We start from the raw sequence: 18,531 nt of genomic DNA, 5'->3' as shown, positions 1-18,531 counted from the left end.
TTAGTATAGCATCAACCTAATAAAGTTATGAAGATTAAATAAGTTAATATTTACATAGTGCTTTGAATAGTGCTGGGAACAGACTAAGGGCTATATAGGTGCTTGATAAATTGATGCGACCAACAAAAAAGATATTCCCACTGACTGTGTTCCAAGAGTTGTGGGAACTCTTGTGGGAAGCAGGAATTCCTGATAAGTAAGGTATTATGGACTGAATGTTTGTGTCCCCCCAAAATTCCTATGTTGAAATCCTCACCCGCAAGGTGATGGTATTGGGAGGTGGGGCCTTTGGGAGGTGACTATGGCATAAGGGCAGAGCCTTCATGAATGGGATTAGTCCCTATGATAAGAAGAGATACAAGAGAGCTTGCTTCTCCTCTTCCTTGTTGTCAGATGAGGATATGGCAAGAAGACTGCCATCTATAAAGCAGGAAAAGAGCCTTCACCAAGAACCCAACCATACTGGCAGCCTGTTCTCAGACTTCCAGACTTCAGAACTGTGAGAAATGAGTATTTGTTGTTTAAGCCACCCAGTCCATTGTAGTTTTGTTATAGCAGCCTGAACTGACTAAGACATAGGAGGATTATACATTCTAACTTAAAATGTCCCCAACGCATTAGTCCTAGCTGCTTGGGAGGCTGAGGTTGGGGGGATCACTTGAGCTCAGGAGCTTGAGGCCAGCCTGGGCAACATAGCCAGACACTGTCTCTAAAAAATAAAAGTCCCCAAAATACATATGCCCTTGATTTGCCAATTCCACTCCTGGGACTCATTTCCATAGGAAAAAAGTTATCAGTACATGAGAACACATGATGTACAAGGATGTTTATCACAATATTGTTCATAGTGGTAAAGAACTGGGAAAAAAGTGAATATGCAGAGGGGCTATTACACAGACACCGGCTGGGCGCGGCGGCTCACGCCTGTAATCCCAGCACTTTGGGAGGCCGAGGTGGGTGGATCACTTGAGGTCAGGAGGTCAAGACCAGCCTGGCCAACATGGTGAAACCCTGTCTCTATCAAAAATACAAAAAAATTAGCCAGGCATGGTGGCGCACACCTCTAATTCCAGCTACTCGGGAGGCTGAGGCACAAGAATCACTTGAACCCAGGAGGTGGAGGTTGCAGTGAACAGAGATCACGCCACTGCACTATAGCCTGGGTGACAGAGTGAGACTCTGACTCAAAACAAAACAAAACAAAACAAAAACAACAACAACAACAAAATAGACCCTGGAAAGAATGCTTTGGAGAGATTTTTAGGAGATATTATTAAGTCAGAAAAGCAAGATACAGAAAAGCATATGTAATAGGATTCCACTTTTGTCAAAGAAACAGATGTGGCCGGACACGGTGGCTCATGACTGTAATCCCAGCACTTTGGGAGGCCGAGGCGGGTGGGTCACGAGGTCAAGAGATTGAGACCATCCTGGCCAAGATGGTGAAACCCCATCTCTACTGAAAATACAAAAATTAGCTGGGCGTGGTGGTGTGCGCCTATAGTCCCAGCTAGGGTCTGAGGCAGGAGAACCGCTTGAACCCGGGAGGCGGAGTTTGCAGTGAGCCAAGAATTGCACCACTGCACTCCAGCCTGGGCGACAGAGTGAGACTCCATCTCAAAAAAAAGAAAAGAAATAGATGTTTAATTGGGGTGTGTGTGTGTGTGTGTGTGTGTGTATGGATATATACGGCATGGAGAAAAATATGGAAGAACAAGCACTTAGAAAGTTAACATGACTTCAAGGGGCACGGATTAGGGGGTAATGGAATGTGGAAGATTAGGGGGTAATGGAATGTGGAAGAGTGTGTGGCTAGGAAGGCTGGGGAAAAGGAATCTGCAATAAAAACAGCATCTATGATATCATTCCATATCTAAAATTATACACACATGCATGTGTACCTATGTGTTTATACAAAAGAGATCCATGAAATGATCCTCACCAAAATGGTAAAGGTAATTACCTTAGTGTGATAGGGTTCCAGAGGCCCTTCACTTTCTTTTGTTGTTGTTGTTTTGGTTTGGTTTTTTTTTTTGAGACAGGGTCTCACTCTGTTGCCCAGGCTGAAATGCAGTGGTGCTATCTTGGCTCACTGCAGCCTCGACCTCCTGGGCTCAAGTGATCCTCCCACCCCAGCCTCCCAAGTAGCTGGGACTGCAGGCATGTGCCACCATGCCTGGCTTTTTTATTTATTTATTTTTTTTCTGAGACAGAGTCTTGCTCTGTGGCCCAGGCTGGAGTGCAGTGGCACAATCTTGGCTCATTGCAACCTCCACCTCCCAGGTTCAAGCAAATCTCATGCCTCAGCTTCCTGAGTAGCTGGGATTACAGGAAGCATGCCATCACACTTAGCTAATTCTTTTTTTTTTTTTTTTTGAGACAGGTGTGATCCCAGCTCACTGCACCTCCACCTCACGGGTTCAAGTGATTTTTGTGCCTCAGCCTCCTTGAGTAGCTGGGATTATAGGTGTGTGCCACCACGCCTGGCTTATTTTTGTATTTTTAGTAGAGACGGGGTTTTGCCATGTTGGCCAGGCTGGTCTTGAACTCCTGACCTCAGGTGATTTGCCTGCCTTGGTCTCCCAAAGTGCTGGGATTACAGGCATGAGCCACCGCACCCAGCCTCAGCTAATTTTTTTGTATTTTTAGTAGAGAATGGGTTTCGCCATGTTGGCCAGGCTGGTCTTGAACTCCTGACAAGTGATCCACCCGCCTCAGCCTCCCAAATTCCCAGGATTACAGGCATGAGCCACCACACCCTGCCCATTTCTTAATTTTTTGTAGAGATGAGGTCTTCCTATGTTGCCCAGGCTGGTCTAAAACTCCTGGGCTCAAACGATCTGCCCAGCTCATCCTCCCAAAGTGCTGGGATTACAGGAGTGAGCCACTGTGCCTGGCCCCTTCACTTTCTTTATATTTTTACGTATGTTCAAAATCGAAATAGTGATTATAAAGCTATGTTTTCATTGTAAAAAAATTTAACTTAATCTAAATGTCCAAATTATTTGTGGGCTCTAGCTTGACATGGTCAGAACAGTAACCAGGCATCGGAAGACATTAATTGTAGTTCTGCTTTTGCCACTGAGTAGCTGCCTCACTCTAGGCAAGTCCCTTCACCTTTGTGTACCTCAATTTCTTCATCTGAAAAAGAATCCTTACCTTACCTCCTTTTATGGTGATTATGACGATAAATGTGAGAATGGATCGGACATAGTGCTCTGAAAACTAAAAATTACATTAATAATGGAGGAGTTATTATTATACTGTTTCTTAGATATCAAAACAATTAGAACTTACCAAAGCAGAAACTGACCAGGGACCAAATATTCCTCCTTCTCCAAACACTGGCTCAAAGAAGGGCACAGCAACCAGCAACATGGCAGATGACATCGGAGCCTGGTAGTACAGCAGCTGCATTGAGTTCACTTGTAATTCATGCTGTTTGGCTCCTACCCACTGAAAATTAGGAGATAAAACATGTCTGGCACAAAAGAAATAGTATCACATAATCAAAGATGCGACAACTAGAGTCACAAAGATGGGAATGTGGGGTATAGACTAGGGGAAGATAAAATGTCTAATTATTCTACAAGATTTCAAAGACCAGTAAGCTATATGAATGCCCTTTAAGCACCATGGATGAAAATAGCTCTATAAATTTAATTTCTGATAATCTAGCTTCTTCTCAATTCTTAGAAGGAGGAGAAAAGTCCTCTATTTCCTTCTACCTGATCCTAGTAAATAGGGAAAAATAAATGCATATAAGGGCCTACAAGGATAAAAGATCTTGGGAAAATAAGGGAGAAATAGAAATTCAGGTGATTAGGAATACAGATGCAGTGTTGGACTTCATTTCTTTCTAAAAATGGCAAAATTTAAAAAATGGAAGACCGGGGCCAGGAGCAGTGGCTGACACCTGTAATCCCAGTACTTTGGGAGGCCAAGGCAGGCAGATAACCTGAGGTCAGGAGTCCGAGACCAGCCTGGCCAACATGGTGAAACCCTATCTCTACTAAAAATACAATTAGCTGGGCGTGGTGGCGGGCGCCTGTGGTCCCAGCTACTCGGGACGCTGAGCAGGAGAATCGCTTGAACCAAGGAGGCGGAGGTTGCAGTGAGCTGAGATCGCGCCACTGCACTCCAGCCTCAGTGATAGAGTGAGACTCTGTCTAAAAAAAAAAAAAAACAAAGACAGAGGTTGGGGGGACACGATGACAATGGGGCATGGGGGCAGGTTAGAGATGGTTGCCAATGTGTGTGGCTTGAAAAGGTATGTGGTCTCGTCAGTTGCTTTGGAAAACCCAATCAATGGTAGAAGAGATTTTCCTCTCTCTGGATGACTTTTCTGTGGATACTATTCCTCATCCCCCACCAATACACCTAGATACACTGGATAATCACTAACCCTAAAATACCATACCATTCAGTAGAAACAACATCTCAAGACCTCAAATCCCATTCGTCCACAAAATACTTCACAAATATAACTGAAAAAAAGGCTTTGAAGAAGATTTAACAGGACTGTTTGGATCAGATCTGGCAAGAACAGCTAGGCTTTTGAATGACTTCTACATACTTCTTGTTCCTGTAGGTCTGGGTATCTTGTTACATAAACTCTAAGTCTATAGAAATCCATCAAGACAAAAATAGAAGAGCAGGGAATTTGAACCATACTCCTGCCAGCTTTAACTAAGAGTCCTCTGTGAATATGAAGGACAAAGAACTGATTCTTCTGCTGCCTGCTCCTTGGGGCACAGCAGCAAGCAAAAACGGATACAGAGGGTGTGTGCTCACCTGCCTTTCCTTTTGCAGCCTCTTCAGGCAGCCGCGTGTCTTCGCCACAGGACTGCCTGGAACAGCAGGGGCTCTCAGGCCTCCACTGTCCCTCAATGCAGCACAGCCTGGCTCCTGCCACCACCCCTCTAATGCTCTCCTAAGGGCACTATGATCTCCATGGACATGTCCAGACTCCCTGTGGCCCTTCCTGCGAGCCCTCTTTGCAGAACCTGCAAGTTTTGCTTGGAAGAACTACCCTCTGGTTTGTACTCCTCCCTCACTGCCTCCTGCACTTAACAGTTTTTAAGGCAGATGCCTGCCTTCCTCTTTCATCGCCCTGACTGATGTCTTTTACTATTTGCTGAGATCTACTGCTCTTCCCTCATCGCTTGAGCATCCTTAACCTTATATTGGCCAGTCTCCTGGCCATCTCTACTTATATAATCTGCAGGAACTTGTTTAAAATCAACTGGTGCCTTTTTTCTACAAATGGGCTCCTCTTGTGTGTTTCCAATAATTGATGATATAATCTCCCTCAGGGATCAGAGCCTTACTTTCCTCTCTCTCACATTCAGTCAGGTTCTCCTATGTTCCCCAAAACGCCCCTGGAGTGCCTTTTAACCTTTCCCTGTCCATTCCCACCGCCCTAGCCCAGGCCCTTCCTGCCTGTCCTGTGAAGTACAGGTAGGTTCCTGACTGCTCTGCCTTTTACCCTTCCTTCCCTCTTACCCACCCTTCATTGCCATCAGTTACTTTTCTAAAGACAGGGGAATGATCAAGTCAGTCCCTGTCTGAACTCCTCTCCTGGTGCGTGCTCAATAAAGATATACTTCCTTAGCATGGCTTCACGACCCTGACATCTGGTATCACCCACTCCTCAGCCTTGTCTTCTCACAATGCACCTACTGCCTAGCCTCACCAAACAAATCAAGTTCTCCAAAAATGCTCCAGACTTTCACACACACTGCAAGGAAAAGACCAGCTGTCCTTCCCTGCTGAGCTCATTTCTGTGTGCCCTTCAATTTAAATTGTTAACTTTTCCGTAAAGTCTTACCTCACCGCCCCTCTTTAAGAGCTGCCACTTCCTCCTTGGTGTTCCTCAGAATTTTCCTCCTACCTTGGGGTACATATGCTACTGTGACCAGCTGTCTCTTTGTGTTTCTACACTGCTGGACTGTAGCTGCTTTTCATCTTTGTATCCTCAAGGGTGAACATAATGCAGAAAAGATGTCTGCTGAACGAATGAATGAGTCAACCATCTTTCTACAACTCAAGCTAATAGCTGGTCACTTGTCTTTTAACTCCTTTTAATGTCTCCAGCAGTATAAGAGAAACAACATAGAAATTATCCCAAGATACTGTGGGCAGATACAACTTTCTTTAAGAGGAATGTTTTGGGAATATACCTATTTTGTAATGGTACCTTTACCACTTACTGATAAGAAACTGTCCATTAATCTACAATCATTCCTTGGTCAATCTCATGTCAAATATCTACCTTAGGGATATAGAATCCTTTGATTCTAATCTATAGCAATTTTGAGACTTGTGTGAACAAAAATGGTCATAGTGACAGAGATGGTGAGTACTCTGAATCTATTACGTATAAGGAGTACAATTACTTGCTCTGTTTAATAAATTGCCTATACTAGGCAAAAACAAGTGCATTTAACAAGAAAGATGAATAGGAATGTTCACTAGCCTCTTCTTTTATTTAAACTGCTTCTCTGCCACTAGAAAATGTATTTCACTGCAGAATATTTTCAAATACTGTCTCTGACATGATCACTACTAGAATGTTTAAGATGCCAGGGCTCTATTACTGAACTCCTAAAATTTCAAACAAGAATGCCTTAGTTTAATAACCAGTGGATGTTTGTGAAAAAAATAAAATTGGTTACACATTTTGGCTTTGATTCCCCATGCAGGCACACCCAGAATTTCCAGACCAAGGTTTTCAGTATAGAGAGAATACCGTTTCACTGTCCCCTACAGCAAGTTATTTTTTCTCCACTAAATAAGAATCAAAAACCATACTTGTTAGGATTTTATGGTAATGAAGTAAGTGAATCCATGAACATATTTTTAATGAATATCTGCTATAGGCAAGGCACTGCGCTTGCACAAATGGAAAAATATTCATTAATATAAATTACTCTATATTTATTAATATAGAGTATAATATTGTAATAATCTATATTAGACACATTATTAAAAGCCAATAAACAAGTTGTAACAGCAGTATAATTTTTGAGGCAAAAACATCTAAAAATCTGAAATTTTTCATTACTGTTCAGATTTCTGGAAGTATACTCACTCCTTCACAACAATGTTAAAAGTAAAGAGTAAACAGAAAACATAACAAACTTAGGAAGTAAAAAGTCTTACTAGGTATTTTGTAAAGATTTCCCAGAAAATAACTTCACCCCAAGCTGAGACTGTTAAGCATGGATATTATACACTTACAAACAGGTAGGTATTTGGTGAGCATCACACACCCAAGTTTCTCTGTCTCCTTTCTTCTCTTCACCTTGAGTCAGACAACTTATGCAATTATGCTTTCTTCCCAACAGTCTATTGTCTCTATACTGTATTTTCTAAACCTTGGAATACAGCTTCAAAATTTATGAAATCTGCTAAAAAGGCACATAAAGAAAAAAAAATTACCAACCACTTGATAAAGGGATGTAACTAAAACACCAAGAGCAGCAAACACCATTCCAAGGAAATTAAACTTCACATCGTAATAAGAATTTAGGATTACACCTAAAGTTATAGGAATCTGTAACGAAAAAGAGGTAAATGTTGTTCAGATTAAATTCAAGAGACAAAAATTTAGTATTCCTTTCACAATGTCTTACAAGGCTAATGATAAACACATAACTGGGAAACAATGAACCTGTATAAATGTTTTCTGTTTTGACTTGGGAAAACTAGTTGTTAATCCTATTTCCTAAACGTGAAATATGACAAATCTATATTGATATTCACATTTAATTCCATTCTAAATTTGTGGTAAATATATTGCACTTTGCAAGAAAATACCACATGAATACAAAGGTGAGTAAATGGATCCCCAAACTAGTGTCTAAACAGCATAAGCATAAATATAAAACAATAAAAGCATAAAGACCTTAAATATAAGGCCAGGCACGGTGGCTCACCACTGTAACCCCAGCGCTTTCGGAGGCCAAGGCGGGCAGATCACCTGAGGTCAGAGTTCGAGACCAGCCTGATTAACATGGAGAAACCCCGTCTTTACTAAAAATACAAAATTAGCCGGGCGTGGTGGCGCATGCCTGTAATCCCAGCTACTCGGGAGGCTGAGGCAGGAGAATCGCTTAAACCCGGGAGGCGGAGGTTGCGGTGAGCCGAGATCGTGCCATTGCACTCCAGCCTGGGCAACAAGAGTGAAATTCCGTCTCAAAAAGAAAAAAAAAAAAAAGAAAAAGACCTTAAATAAGTTACTAAGTGCTAAAATTGAGTCCACCTCCTTTTATTTAAAGATGCAGACAGCTCTAAAGTATGGTGCTGCAGACGTTTTGAGACCTACTTTATGCTACATCTTTTCACGTTTTATCATACACGATTTGATTCCCCTGGGGGAGAAAGGCTGTTTTTGTTTGAGCTTTTGCAGATATTCTGATAACACTGGACTGTACCACCCAATACAGCTTTTTTTCTTATCGATCACAGCATTTAACGATTTCCATCAAATGGCAGCTACTAAAATTCACACATGCCCACTCTTCTGGGCTGACAAGATGGCCTTTTCCCCCTCCCTAAAATAAGCCTAAAAGTTCACATGCCCACAGATGACTCATTTGTGGATTTCAAGATGAAGGGAAAGACCAGTGTGCGTTCGAATTTCCCGGGGCCAGTGCAGGAGGTGGGTCGGGAGAGCGGCGCCTTGGGAAGCTGAAGCTACTCACCAGCGTGAGCTGGATTCTGGTGGAGAAGGTTTTCTGGTAGCAGAAGGTCTGGATGGCTATGATCACCGGCGTGGTCATGGCCTTGGCCAGCTGATAGGTGCCTATGGTGTTGTTCTGCAGAGAAAGGTTAGTGAAGACCACAAAGCCACAGAAGCTGAGGGCCAGGAGGAGGAGCCTGGAGGGCGGCAGACTTTTGGGGGCAAAGATGTCCAGCTTCTGGCAGATATACAAGCCCAGCCAGGTGACCACGAAGTGCACCAGGGTCAGGCTCATGTTGGGGAAGCCGTGGTACACATAAATCCATTTGTTGAGGAACACAATGCAGATGGACACCAGCAGGTTGAACAGGAGCCCGGCGGCGATTCGCCAGTGGCCCCGCACTCGGTCCACCAGCAATGCCATGATCCCCGCGAAGCTGGGGCCGTCTAGCCTCGGAAGGGGCGCCGGGCCTGTCTCCGGCTGCCCTTCTACTCCACCGCCGCGTCCTCGCAGACGCCGACCTCACCGTCTGACCCAGGAGTGGCATGCACAGATCAACCCCGGGCGAGTAGCACTCTTAACAGAGGACACACACCCCGCCGCCGCCCTGTAAGCCAGCTAGGACGCCGCAGCACGTCCCACGCCCCGCTCATCTCCGCCCGCAGCCACGTGACTCGGGGCTCCAGTGCTTCCGCCCCCGAGCCGCTGGCTGAACGGCCGCTACCCTGCGCAGGCGCGCTGAGCCTTGGGCGCGCGACGCTTGCGTCTTTGGGTCCTATCCTCTGGGTCCCCGACCCCCTTGGTCACCTAACGCCTACCTGACTGGACCAATCTAGGACCCCTTTCTTGATGTTTGTTTCCTGTGTGTCATTGACCCGATTTGCTAGACAACTTCTCTCTGGCTGTGCAGACACTGTTAGCCAATTTTACGTATTAAATGCTGAGCAAATTTAGTAGCCCTCGCCAGAGGGGGGAAAGAACTTATTGAAAGCATGTTTTTATTTTTTATTTTTGGAAAAAGACATTCAAAATTTACTTTCCAACAGACAGCATCATCGGGTATAACTACAAGGGTTTCTCCTTAGATCATACATTCACAAAGCATTATTAGCTCAACAGTGAGAAAATGTGTTCTCTAAAGATGTCCCCTTGACAATGTAAACGAGTGCTACTGTGTTCACTTACAACTCGAGAAAAAAACGTACAACCTGGCAAAACCGTATATATATACAGCTGTCTCTAGGGGTGCATACAAATATATATATATGTTTTGGATCAGGTCAGGTGCAATGACTAAGAGATAGAACTTTGAGTAACAGTCTTGATCGACAGTAAGGTCCTTCACACAGAAGTCAGGTTCTTCCTTTCTCCTTCCTCCTTAAGTCGATAAAGAAAGATTATATATTGTAGATATTACAGGTACAAAAGGAGATTTTTAAAAAAGGAATCACAAAAACATCTTGAATGTCCAGCTGTTCCTGCCAATACATCAATTCTTAGTTTTAAGACAGAGTCTAGGATTAATTCAGCAGTCATAAAATTAAAAAGAGAGACTGTGGTACAAAAAATTTAAAATAAATGAGGAAGTAGGGCATGGTGGCGTGGGCCTGTAGTCCCAGCTATTTGAGAGACTGACGTGGGAGGATTGCTTGAGCCCAGGAGTTGGAAGCCGGGATGGGCAACATAGTGAGACCCCCATCTCTAAATTAAATAAATAAATGAGGTAGGGAAATTAAAACTTTCACACCCAGGACATGCCTGTTCCAACTTTGTAGCCTTCATGCAATGCTCAAGGAAAAAGTCTTCATAATTCCTTGGCATAAGTCACACCAAGAAAAGTTTTTAAAACTTAGTATGCGAACCTGTGATAGGCAACACGCCCTTCCCTGAGTTTCCTCTCTAGAATGAAAACCCAGTTCTTCAAGAGTAGGCACTGAGGAACTAAATTAAGTTGCCTGAAATTTCCCACTCAGGTGCCCACCACTTCTGGTGTTCAGGAAGAGAGGCATTTGGGAATTGTGAGGAGCACATTGGCACTCTTGGGGCTCCAACTGAACTGTATTTAAATAAGCAGCAACACACACATTGACTCCCTAAGGACTCAAAGGAGTCCAATTGGCTGGGTGCAGTGGCTTATGCCTGTAATCCCAGCACTTTGAGAGATCGAGGCGAGTGGATCACTTGAGGTCAAGAGTTTGAGACCAGCCTGGCCAACATGGCAAAACCCCGTCTCTACTAAAAATACAAAAATTAGCCAGGCGTGGTGGCAGGCGCCTGTAATCCCAGCTACTAGGGAGGCTGAGGCAGGAGAATCGCTTGAACCCAGGAGGCGGAGGTTTGCAGTGAGATATCATGCCACTGCACTCCGGCCTGGGAGACAGAGCAAGACCATGTCTCAAAAATAAATAAATAAATAAAAATTAAAAACAAGTCCATTTGAGGGCATCCTAATTAAGAGTCTAAGGTTGAAGGAATTTTGTAATTCCACAACCTTAGTGGGTTTCTGTGCTGTGTTTTTTAAAGGACATTCAAAAAACAAGGCACAACAAAAGACAAATACAGAGTGGGGGACATGCAAAACAAGTTCCTAAATAGATGACAGACCTTGTCCATTTACCCACATACGGTTACGATGGAAGCATACAATATTCCTCCTCCTCATTTAGGCTAAGTAGTTTTCCCACTGTTGTTCAACAAATAGGTAACAGTCTTTGGAAATAGTCACCCTGGGTTGTACAAAGTTTCTATATATACAGTTTGTTGCAAGTAACAAAACTACTTTTAAGACTCACTTATTTCCCCTCCCCACCCCAAATCTAGTCTGTATTTGTTTTGGTATGAATTTTTTGTTTTTATTTTTTGCAAAGTAGCATAGCAATAATCATGATTACAGGACTGCATGAGCTGTAAAAATCATTTGCATATTAGTAAGAATAAAGAAAACAGGAAGACAAGATGAATTCTTTAGAGAAATAAAACAAAAAAAGCACATAATATAGAACTGATCAAATTCTATGATCCCATCTCAGGCTTCCCAAGCCAGCTGTCTCTAGGGGTGGCATCTATAAATACATATTCAAGAAATTCCTTAGATGATTAGCAAGTTTGGGGAATTACTGTTTTCTATTAGAATCACATTCTTTTAGTTGTCTCCTGTTTATAAGCCCTACACTCTAGCCTATTTGGTGTATTTGTTGGTTCATAATAATGCCCAGCATTTATCATTTCTTGCTCATACTGATTTCTTAATCTATAGAGCCTCATCCTTCTTGTGTCACTCTTTGCCTTTGCAAATTCAGTGCATTACTCAAACCCCAAACCAATACTACTTCCTGAGAGTCTTTTCAGCTGGAGAGAGGTTCTTCCTGCTCAGACTACTTGTAATTCTTTCTTTTTTTGGAGACAGTGTCTCGCTCTGTCCCCAAGGCTGGAGTGCAGTGGCGTGATCTCGGCTCACTGCAACCTCTGCCTTCCAGGTTCAAGAGATTCTCATGCCTCAGCCTCCCCTGAGTAGCTGGGATTACAGGCACCTGCCACCATGCCCGGCTAATTTTTGTATTTTTTTAGTAGAGACAGGGTTTCACCATGTTGGCCAGGCTGGTCTCAAACTCCTGACGACAGGTGATCCACCTGCCTCGGCCTCCCGAAGTGCTGGGGTTACAGACGTGAGCCACTGCACCCAGCCACTACTTGTATTTTTAAATGACACCTTTTAAATGTACTTATGGTATTTCCCCTATTAGAAGAGCGGGATCTGTAATCTCCAATATATTCAGTGCTTACTGTGTGCCAGGTACTACGCTAAGTCTTTATATGCTCTTATTTTGATAGGAAGTTTGCTAAATGAAAGTTAAACTAGAAATGTCTTCAAAATAACTAAAATAATAATAGCATGTTATGTTAGAAAAATTCTTGTTATAGTCATCTTCTTAATTTTAATATTCAAAAATACTAAATTTTATGATAAATAAAAAATTACGTACCTGGCTTAAAAATAAATCTACTTTCCATCATCTTTATGATTTTAAAATATCAGAATGCTTATGATTACAGAAAAAACTAGAACAGAAAATTTAATTTTCTTATTACATGAAAAAGAGACAACCCTGGAATTTGTAAAAACAGAAAATTTTAATTTTTATATAGTTTTATTAACAAGCACACAGAGAAACGCTGATATCCCTACATGTTGAAAGTGTCACGATAATATTCTGAAAAGTACAAAATTCAAATGTCTAAATTTTACATGGTAATGCAAAAGAAAAAATTACTAATAACAAGTATATTTTATTAAAAACTTCATTTATCATGAAAATTAGTGAGATTACAAAGATTAAACTATAACTGAATTTCATACCCTAATGGGTCAAGTCCCTGGTCTAGGAGCATTAGAGAGGACTCTCTGAGCTTCTGCAGCAACTTCCTTAGCTCTTCCTTAGAAAATACCTGATTTTTAAAAAGAGAAATAAGAATGAGAACAAAGACAAGTAGACAAGTATGAACTTAGTTACCTAATCGATCTGATTAGCTTCATATAAGAAGAAATGCCTCTTTAAGATTTATGTAGCCAGAGCCTAGTAAATTAGAGTGGTTCAGGAATTTCAAGGTGAATTCTCAGAGTCAGTCTATATATTTCTAACTGCTTACAAATATACACACATTTTGGGAAAAAAGTACAAACATTAAAACATTAAAACTGGACTATTACTTTAAGAAAATCCAAGAGCAATTACAAATGTAAACACATCTTCACAAAATTAATATTACTACAGAGCATATCAAATCATTAAAATTTAAAACTACAAGGCTCTAGAACTTACCAGGTACAGTTTGTGGCGCTCAGAGGATACCATATCTGCTAACTGTAGGCATTCCTGATACTGACCAGTACTGTGCAATATCGTATGAAGCAGAAAACACAACATTGGCAGACAAAGCTTTCTCAGTAAGACCATTTGATGTGTTCTTTCATGGTCTTCTTTGGCATCCTACAAACAGACATCAATAAATCATTTTAACAATTTAAGCTAAAGATCCTTACAAAAAGAAAAGCCAGGTACTGAATCAAACCCAGAATGTAATTGGTAGACAAGATTTAACAGCAAAAAAGTATGAAGATGAACAACGTAGACTACAGAGAGGTATGACAGTGAAAATAAAATGCTTCTGCATTTGTATTTCTAATAAACTTACTATGTCCTGAATAAAAACATGCATAAAAAGAATGAGTTGGAAACTGAATATCATTAGAGCAAAAATCAGAACAGAAAACAATCACCACTCCTTTGGATGTTTATACATATAAATAAAGATAGCTCTAAGGAGGCCTGAGAGGACACAACAGACTGACAGCAATGACTGTTGCTGGGAAAAAGACGATGTGGGGAGGGGCACACAGGGAGGGTCAACTTCATTGCAGACTACTTTGCTTATACACATGGAAAATGGAATTTATAATTTCTTTATATAATTTTTAAAAACAGAAAAACAGAACCTATAGATTTGAATAATACAATTAATGAGTCAGAACAGATATATAAGGAAAACAAGCAGAAAAAACAATTGGCATTCCTTTATACATACATGGATCTTTCTTAAAATCGATGTGAACAGTAAAAGTACAGAAAAAAGAGTAAACCTCTTATGCCCACTACATTTACTTACAAAAAATTTGAAAATTAAAATAATTAGAAAGTAACCAACCACATAATTTCTTTTTTTTTTCTTTTCTTTTTTAACCTTTTTCTTCTTTTCTGAGACAGCATCTCACTCTGTCGCCCAGTCTGGAATGCAGTGGTACAATCATGGCTCTCTGAAGCCTTGATCTCCGGGCTCAAGCAATCCTCCTACCTCAGCCTCCCAAGTAGCTAAGAACCACAGGCATGTGCCACCATGCCCGGCTAATTTTTCTATTTAAAAAAAAAAATAATTTTATTATTTGTAGAGATGAGGTCTCCCTATGTTGCCCAAGCTAGTATCGAACTCTTGGGCTCAAGTGATCCTCCTGCCTCAGCCTCCCAAAGTGCTGGGATTACAGAAATTACACACTACAATTTCTGAAATAATCTTAAAAATAGGAAGGAAATCAATAGCACTAATAGTGTAGAAAAAAAAAACAGGACAAGCTAAAATAATAACTGCTCCTTTGAAAAGCCTAATGGAATACCTAAAAGTATCTTCATGTGAGAGGCTATATTAAATTGCTAAAACATTTTTCAAATGGACATGTAAGTGGAGGGGTTAATCAACAACAAAGTATAATCTGGTAATTATACCAAGGAGTAATTGTACTAATTTGGGCTAATCTAGGTCAGGTTTCCAAACATAGGAAAAATTACTATCAATATTTTGGTCTTGTTTGAAGCATAAATACATAAAAGCAAATATTAAAGTGCTTCTTTACAAGGGAAGCACCTTTATTTCTTTTCTCAAATAGATACTTGCTACCTTCAGAGGTGGATTTAAAATGCTTCAAGGTTTTACTTGTAATTCATATTAGTGATCCCAACCTAGAACCCAGTAAGAATAAGAGAACTGCTTCTTTCTGGACCTTTCCATTTGTGCTCCAATGTAGTCTTTCTGTCTATGTTAAAGAGGCCGGGTGCCCCTGGCTTCTGACTCCTTGTTGCCCGAAAAGCAGCAGGTTACTTTCTTATCTCACAGGATGGACCCAGACTTGCTTTTACTAAATCCTTTTGCTGCCATAATATCAGAGTGTGCTGCAGACAATCTCTTCTGCTAATTATAATGAATTCCGATACTAGCGGGCGGGCTGCCAGCAACTATCCAGGGTAATGGCTGACAGACCCAGCAAATTGCTACAAGGAAAAGCAAATAAACAGCTCTGCTACAACTGAAGACATTTTTCTCATCTGAATGAACAAAAGCTTTGAAATAGCCGGTAAATATGTAAAACAGACGGATTATTTCCACTAGGGATATTTCCACTTTTTTTTTTTTTTTTGAGACGGAGTCTCGCTCTGTCGCCCAGGCTGGAGTGCAGTGGCGCGATCTCAGCTCACTGCAAGCTCCGCCTGCCGGGTTCACGCGATTCTCCTGCCTCAGCCTCCCGAGTAGCTGGGACTACAGGTGCCCGCCACCACACCCGGCTAATTTTTTGTATTTTTAGTAGAGATGGGGTTTTACTGTGTTAGCCAGGATGGTCTCGATCTCCTGACCTCGTGATCTGCCCACCTCAGCCTCCCAAAGTGCTGGGATTACAGGCGTGAGCCACCGCGCCCCCCCATGTAGTGCCTTACATGTGAGAAAAACTCATTACCTAATATGTGTTGATAGCAAGAGTTGATTGGAACTGATATTACAGCTATTCCTAATCTGAAGACAGTACATTCACCTCAGTAATGCAGTATCATTCATTTACTAAGTACCACTGAAAGCCTCCCATGTGCTCAGCATTATTTTAAGTGCCAGAGTCAAAGAAATAAAGAAAACAAGGTTACTCCCTTCATGAAGGTTATATTCTAATGAGGGTAGACATACAAAAAGCAAATAAATTAATATGTTTTATATCAGATTGTGCTAAGTGCTATGAAGAAAACTAATGTAGGATATGGAGATTAAAAGGGACAGGTGTGTGTGTGTGTATACACATGCATACATGCTATTTTAAATAGGGTGGTTGGGTTGGGGAGAGGTTCTTGAAAGAGATGACATTTGAGCAGCTGCTGAAAGAAGTACAAAGTCATCCATGCACCTATCTTGGCGAAGGAGCATTCTAGGCAGAGGGGAACCAATGAAGAGGCCCAGAATGCCAGGATATAGTGATGGGAGAGCAGTAGGACACAAGATTAGGGGGTTAGTTTAAAAAAAAAAGAACAAAACAAAAGTATGTATACTCTTGTACATCAAGAAAAGAAAGATTTTATTCCAAGTGCAATAAGAAGGCATCAGAAAGTTCTGGGTAAGACAGTCGCATGTATTTTATTCTGAAAGGGTCACTAGTCCATCTGTATAAGGAACGATTGTATAAAGAACAGTGAGAAGCCACGGAAGACAGTAGAGGCTTGGACTAGAATGTGCTAGAGGTAGAGGTAGTGAAAGGTAGGTAAAGATGACCTGCCTGCTCCATTCTCTCTGCCATTCCTCTGTGCCACCAGCCCCAACACTAAGGGGACTATTCCAGTTATTTAAAAACTTGAGGGGTAGCTATACGAAAACAGCACATAATGCTAGGGCTATTGTGTACAGCCGTGCCTTGTACAAGGGTGGCTGGCCAAGCAAGTAAGTGGGGCTGAAATCTAGCCTGTGTTCTGTCTTACATATTGTGTGCACTTGCCATGGAACCTATCTATGTAAGGGAAGGGAATTCCAATTTTTTTTTTTTTTTTTTGAGACGGAGTCTCCCTTTGTTGCCCAGGCTGGAGTGCAGTGGCGCAATCTTGGCTCACTGAAACCTCCGCCTCCCTGGGTTCAATCGATTCTCCTGCCTCCACCTCCCTAGTAGCTGGGATTACAGGCGCGAGCCACCACACCCGGCTAATTTTTTGTATTTTTATTTTTATTTTTGAGACAGAGTCTCGCTCTGTTGCCAGGCTGGAGTGCAGTGGCGCAATCTCGGCTCACTGCAACCTCCGCCTCCCAGGTTCAAGTGATTCTTCTGCCTCAGCCTCCCAAGTAGCTGGGACTACAGGCACGTGCCACCATGCCTGGCTAGTTTTCTGTATTTTTAGTAGAGACAGGGTTTCACCATATTGGCCAGGATGATCTTGATCTCCTGATCTTCTGATCCACCAGCCTTGGCCTCCCAAAGTGCTGGGATTCAGGCGTGAGCCACCGTGCCCGGCCAATTTTTTGTATTTTTAGTAGAGACGGAGTTTCACCATATTGGCCAGGCTGGTCTCGAATTCCTGGCCTCACGTGATCTGCCCTCCTCGGCCTCCCAAAAGTGCTGGGATTATAGGGATGAGCCACCGTTCCCAGATAGAATTACAATTTTCTAATTCACATACAAGTGACACGTGTTAGCAGGGGCCTTGAACAATGCCCTACGTCATTGACTATGTAAGAGTATTAGGCTCAACAAAGGTGATTAAAATGTTATTAATCATTTAACTGTTCAAGAAATCTCTTTTCTGGATTAGTTTTAAAGAAATAATTGAGACTGAAGTTTTAAAGAAATAATTGAGACTGAATATTGATTTTAAAATCCCTGATGAAACAAAATGGTGTATCATTCATTGCCTTCCATCTCAACTCCATTTTTTTTTTTTTTTTTTTTTTGAGACAGGGTCTCACTCTGTCACCTAGGCTGAAGTGCAGTGGCACGATCTCGGCTCACTGCAACCTCTGCCTCCTGGGTTCAGGCCATTCTCCTGCCTCACTAGTAGCTGGGACTACAGGCATGCACCACCACACCAGGCTAATTTTTTTGTATTTTTAGTAGAAACGGGGTTTCCCCATGTTGTCCAGGCTGGTCTCAAGCTCCTGACCTCAGGTGATCCACCCACCTCAGCCTCTCAAAGTGCTAGGAGTACAGGCGTGAGCCACCACGCTTGGCCTCAACTCTAATTTTATGAGATCCCAAGACTATTTTGTGGCTTTCACTACCTAATCTACTTAATTAATAATTAGAATAGCAAAGATGTATGTATAAATAAAGCATTGAAGTCTTTTCAAAATTTAAGTGACACTTAATTAGCATTTTACAACATTAAAATTTTATCTTCAAGAGAATCAGCATGAATCAGATGAGAAAGGTTTTGCCAGAGGAACCTGTGGAAGGTTTAAAACGAGTCAAAGGAGTTCTATTACGAACGTTAGGATAAAAAGTGGAGACTTGGCTGGGCGCAGTGGCTCACGCCTGTAATCTCAGGCACTTTGGGAG

At 41.8% G+C, this 18,531-nt stretch overlaps 2 protein-coding genes across 9 annotated transcripts in view, besides 4 other annotated features; both read right to left on the bottom strand.

Moving 5' to 3' along the window:
• SLC35E3 (solute carrier family 35 member E3) overlaps positions 1-9,312 on the bottom strand; it is a 35,293-nt gene extending 25,981 nt beyond the window's left edge. For 2 of the 5 annotated variants that reach the window (NM_018656.5, NM_001354998.2), the window contains exons 1-3: positions 8,709-9,312; positions 7,448-7,558; positions 3,298-3,456 (exon numbers count right to left, since the gene is read on the bottom strand). In NM_018656.5, coding sequence (NP_061126.2) covers positions 3,298-3,456; positions 7,448-7,558; positions 8,709-9,110 — 672 coding nt within the window. In that variant the 5' untranslated portion in view covers positions 9,111-9,312. Of the gene's footprint in view, positions 1-3,297; positions 3,457-7,242; positions 7,413-7,447; positions 7,559-8,708 lie in introns of all 5 variants that reach the window. The other 3 variants (NR_149143.3, NR_149144.3, NM_001354997.3) reach the window with 3 other exon arrangements.
• Positions 8,290-8,479: an enhancer, noted in NCBI's record as "active region_6645". NCBI's record gives its function as "activates an Ori minimal core promoter by ATAC-STARR-seq in GM12878 lymphoblastoid cells {active_cell/tissue: GM12878}" and the evidence as "EXISTENCE:reporter gene assay evidence [ECO:0000049][PMID:35858748]".
• Positions 8,840-8,949: an enhancer, noted in NCBI's record as "active region_6644". NCBI's record gives its function as "activates an Ori minimal core promoter by ATAC-STARR-seq in GM12878 lymphoblastoid cells {active_cell/tissue: GM12878}" and the evidence as "EXISTENCE:reporter gene assay evidence [ECO:0000049][PMID:35858748]".
• Positions 8,949-9,639: an enhancer, noted in NCBI's record as "H3K27ac hESC enhancer chr12:69139629-69140319 (GRCh37/hg19 assembly coordinates)". NCBI's record gives its function as "activates a minimal SCP1, AML or CMV promoter by ChIP-STARR-seq in primed H9 embryonic stem cells {active_cell/tissue: H9 hESC(primed)}" and the evidence as "EXISTENCE:reporter gene assay evidence [ECO:0000049][PMID:30033119]".
• Positions 9,000-9,099: an enhancer, noted in NCBI's record as "active region_6643". NCBI's record gives its function as "activates an Ori minimal core promoter by ATAC-STARR-seq in GM12878 lymphoblastoid cells {active_cell/tissue: GM12878}" and the evidence as "EXISTENCE:reporter gene assay evidence [ECO:0000049][PMID:35858748]".
• Positions 9,679-18,531, bottom strand: part of NUP107 (nucleoporin 107) — a 58,832-nt gene continuing 49,979 nt past the window's right edge. For all 4 annotated transcript variants that reach the window (NM_001330192.2, NM_020401.4, XM_005269037.5 and 1 more), the window contains 2 exons: positions 13,508-13,675; positions 9,679-13,133 (listed from right to left, as the gene is read on the bottom strand). In NM_001330192.2, the coding sequence (NP_001317121.1) occupies positions 13,026-13,133; positions 13,508-13,675 (276 nt within the window). In that variant the 3' untranslated portion in view covers positions 9,679-13,025. The remainder of the gene's footprint in view (positions 13,134-13,507; positions 13,676-18,531) is intronic.

The sequence above is a fragment of the Homo sapiens genome, chromosome 12, assembly GCF_000001405.40.
Source record: "Homo sapiens chromosome 12, GRCh38.p14 Primary Assembly".
Lineage (NCBI taxonomy): Eukaryota > Metazoa > Chordata > Mammalia > Primates > Hominidae > Homo > Homo sapiens.
The sequence above is the reverse complement of the archived record's forward strand: the minus strand, read 5'-3'. Positions and strand labels throughout refer to the sequence as shown.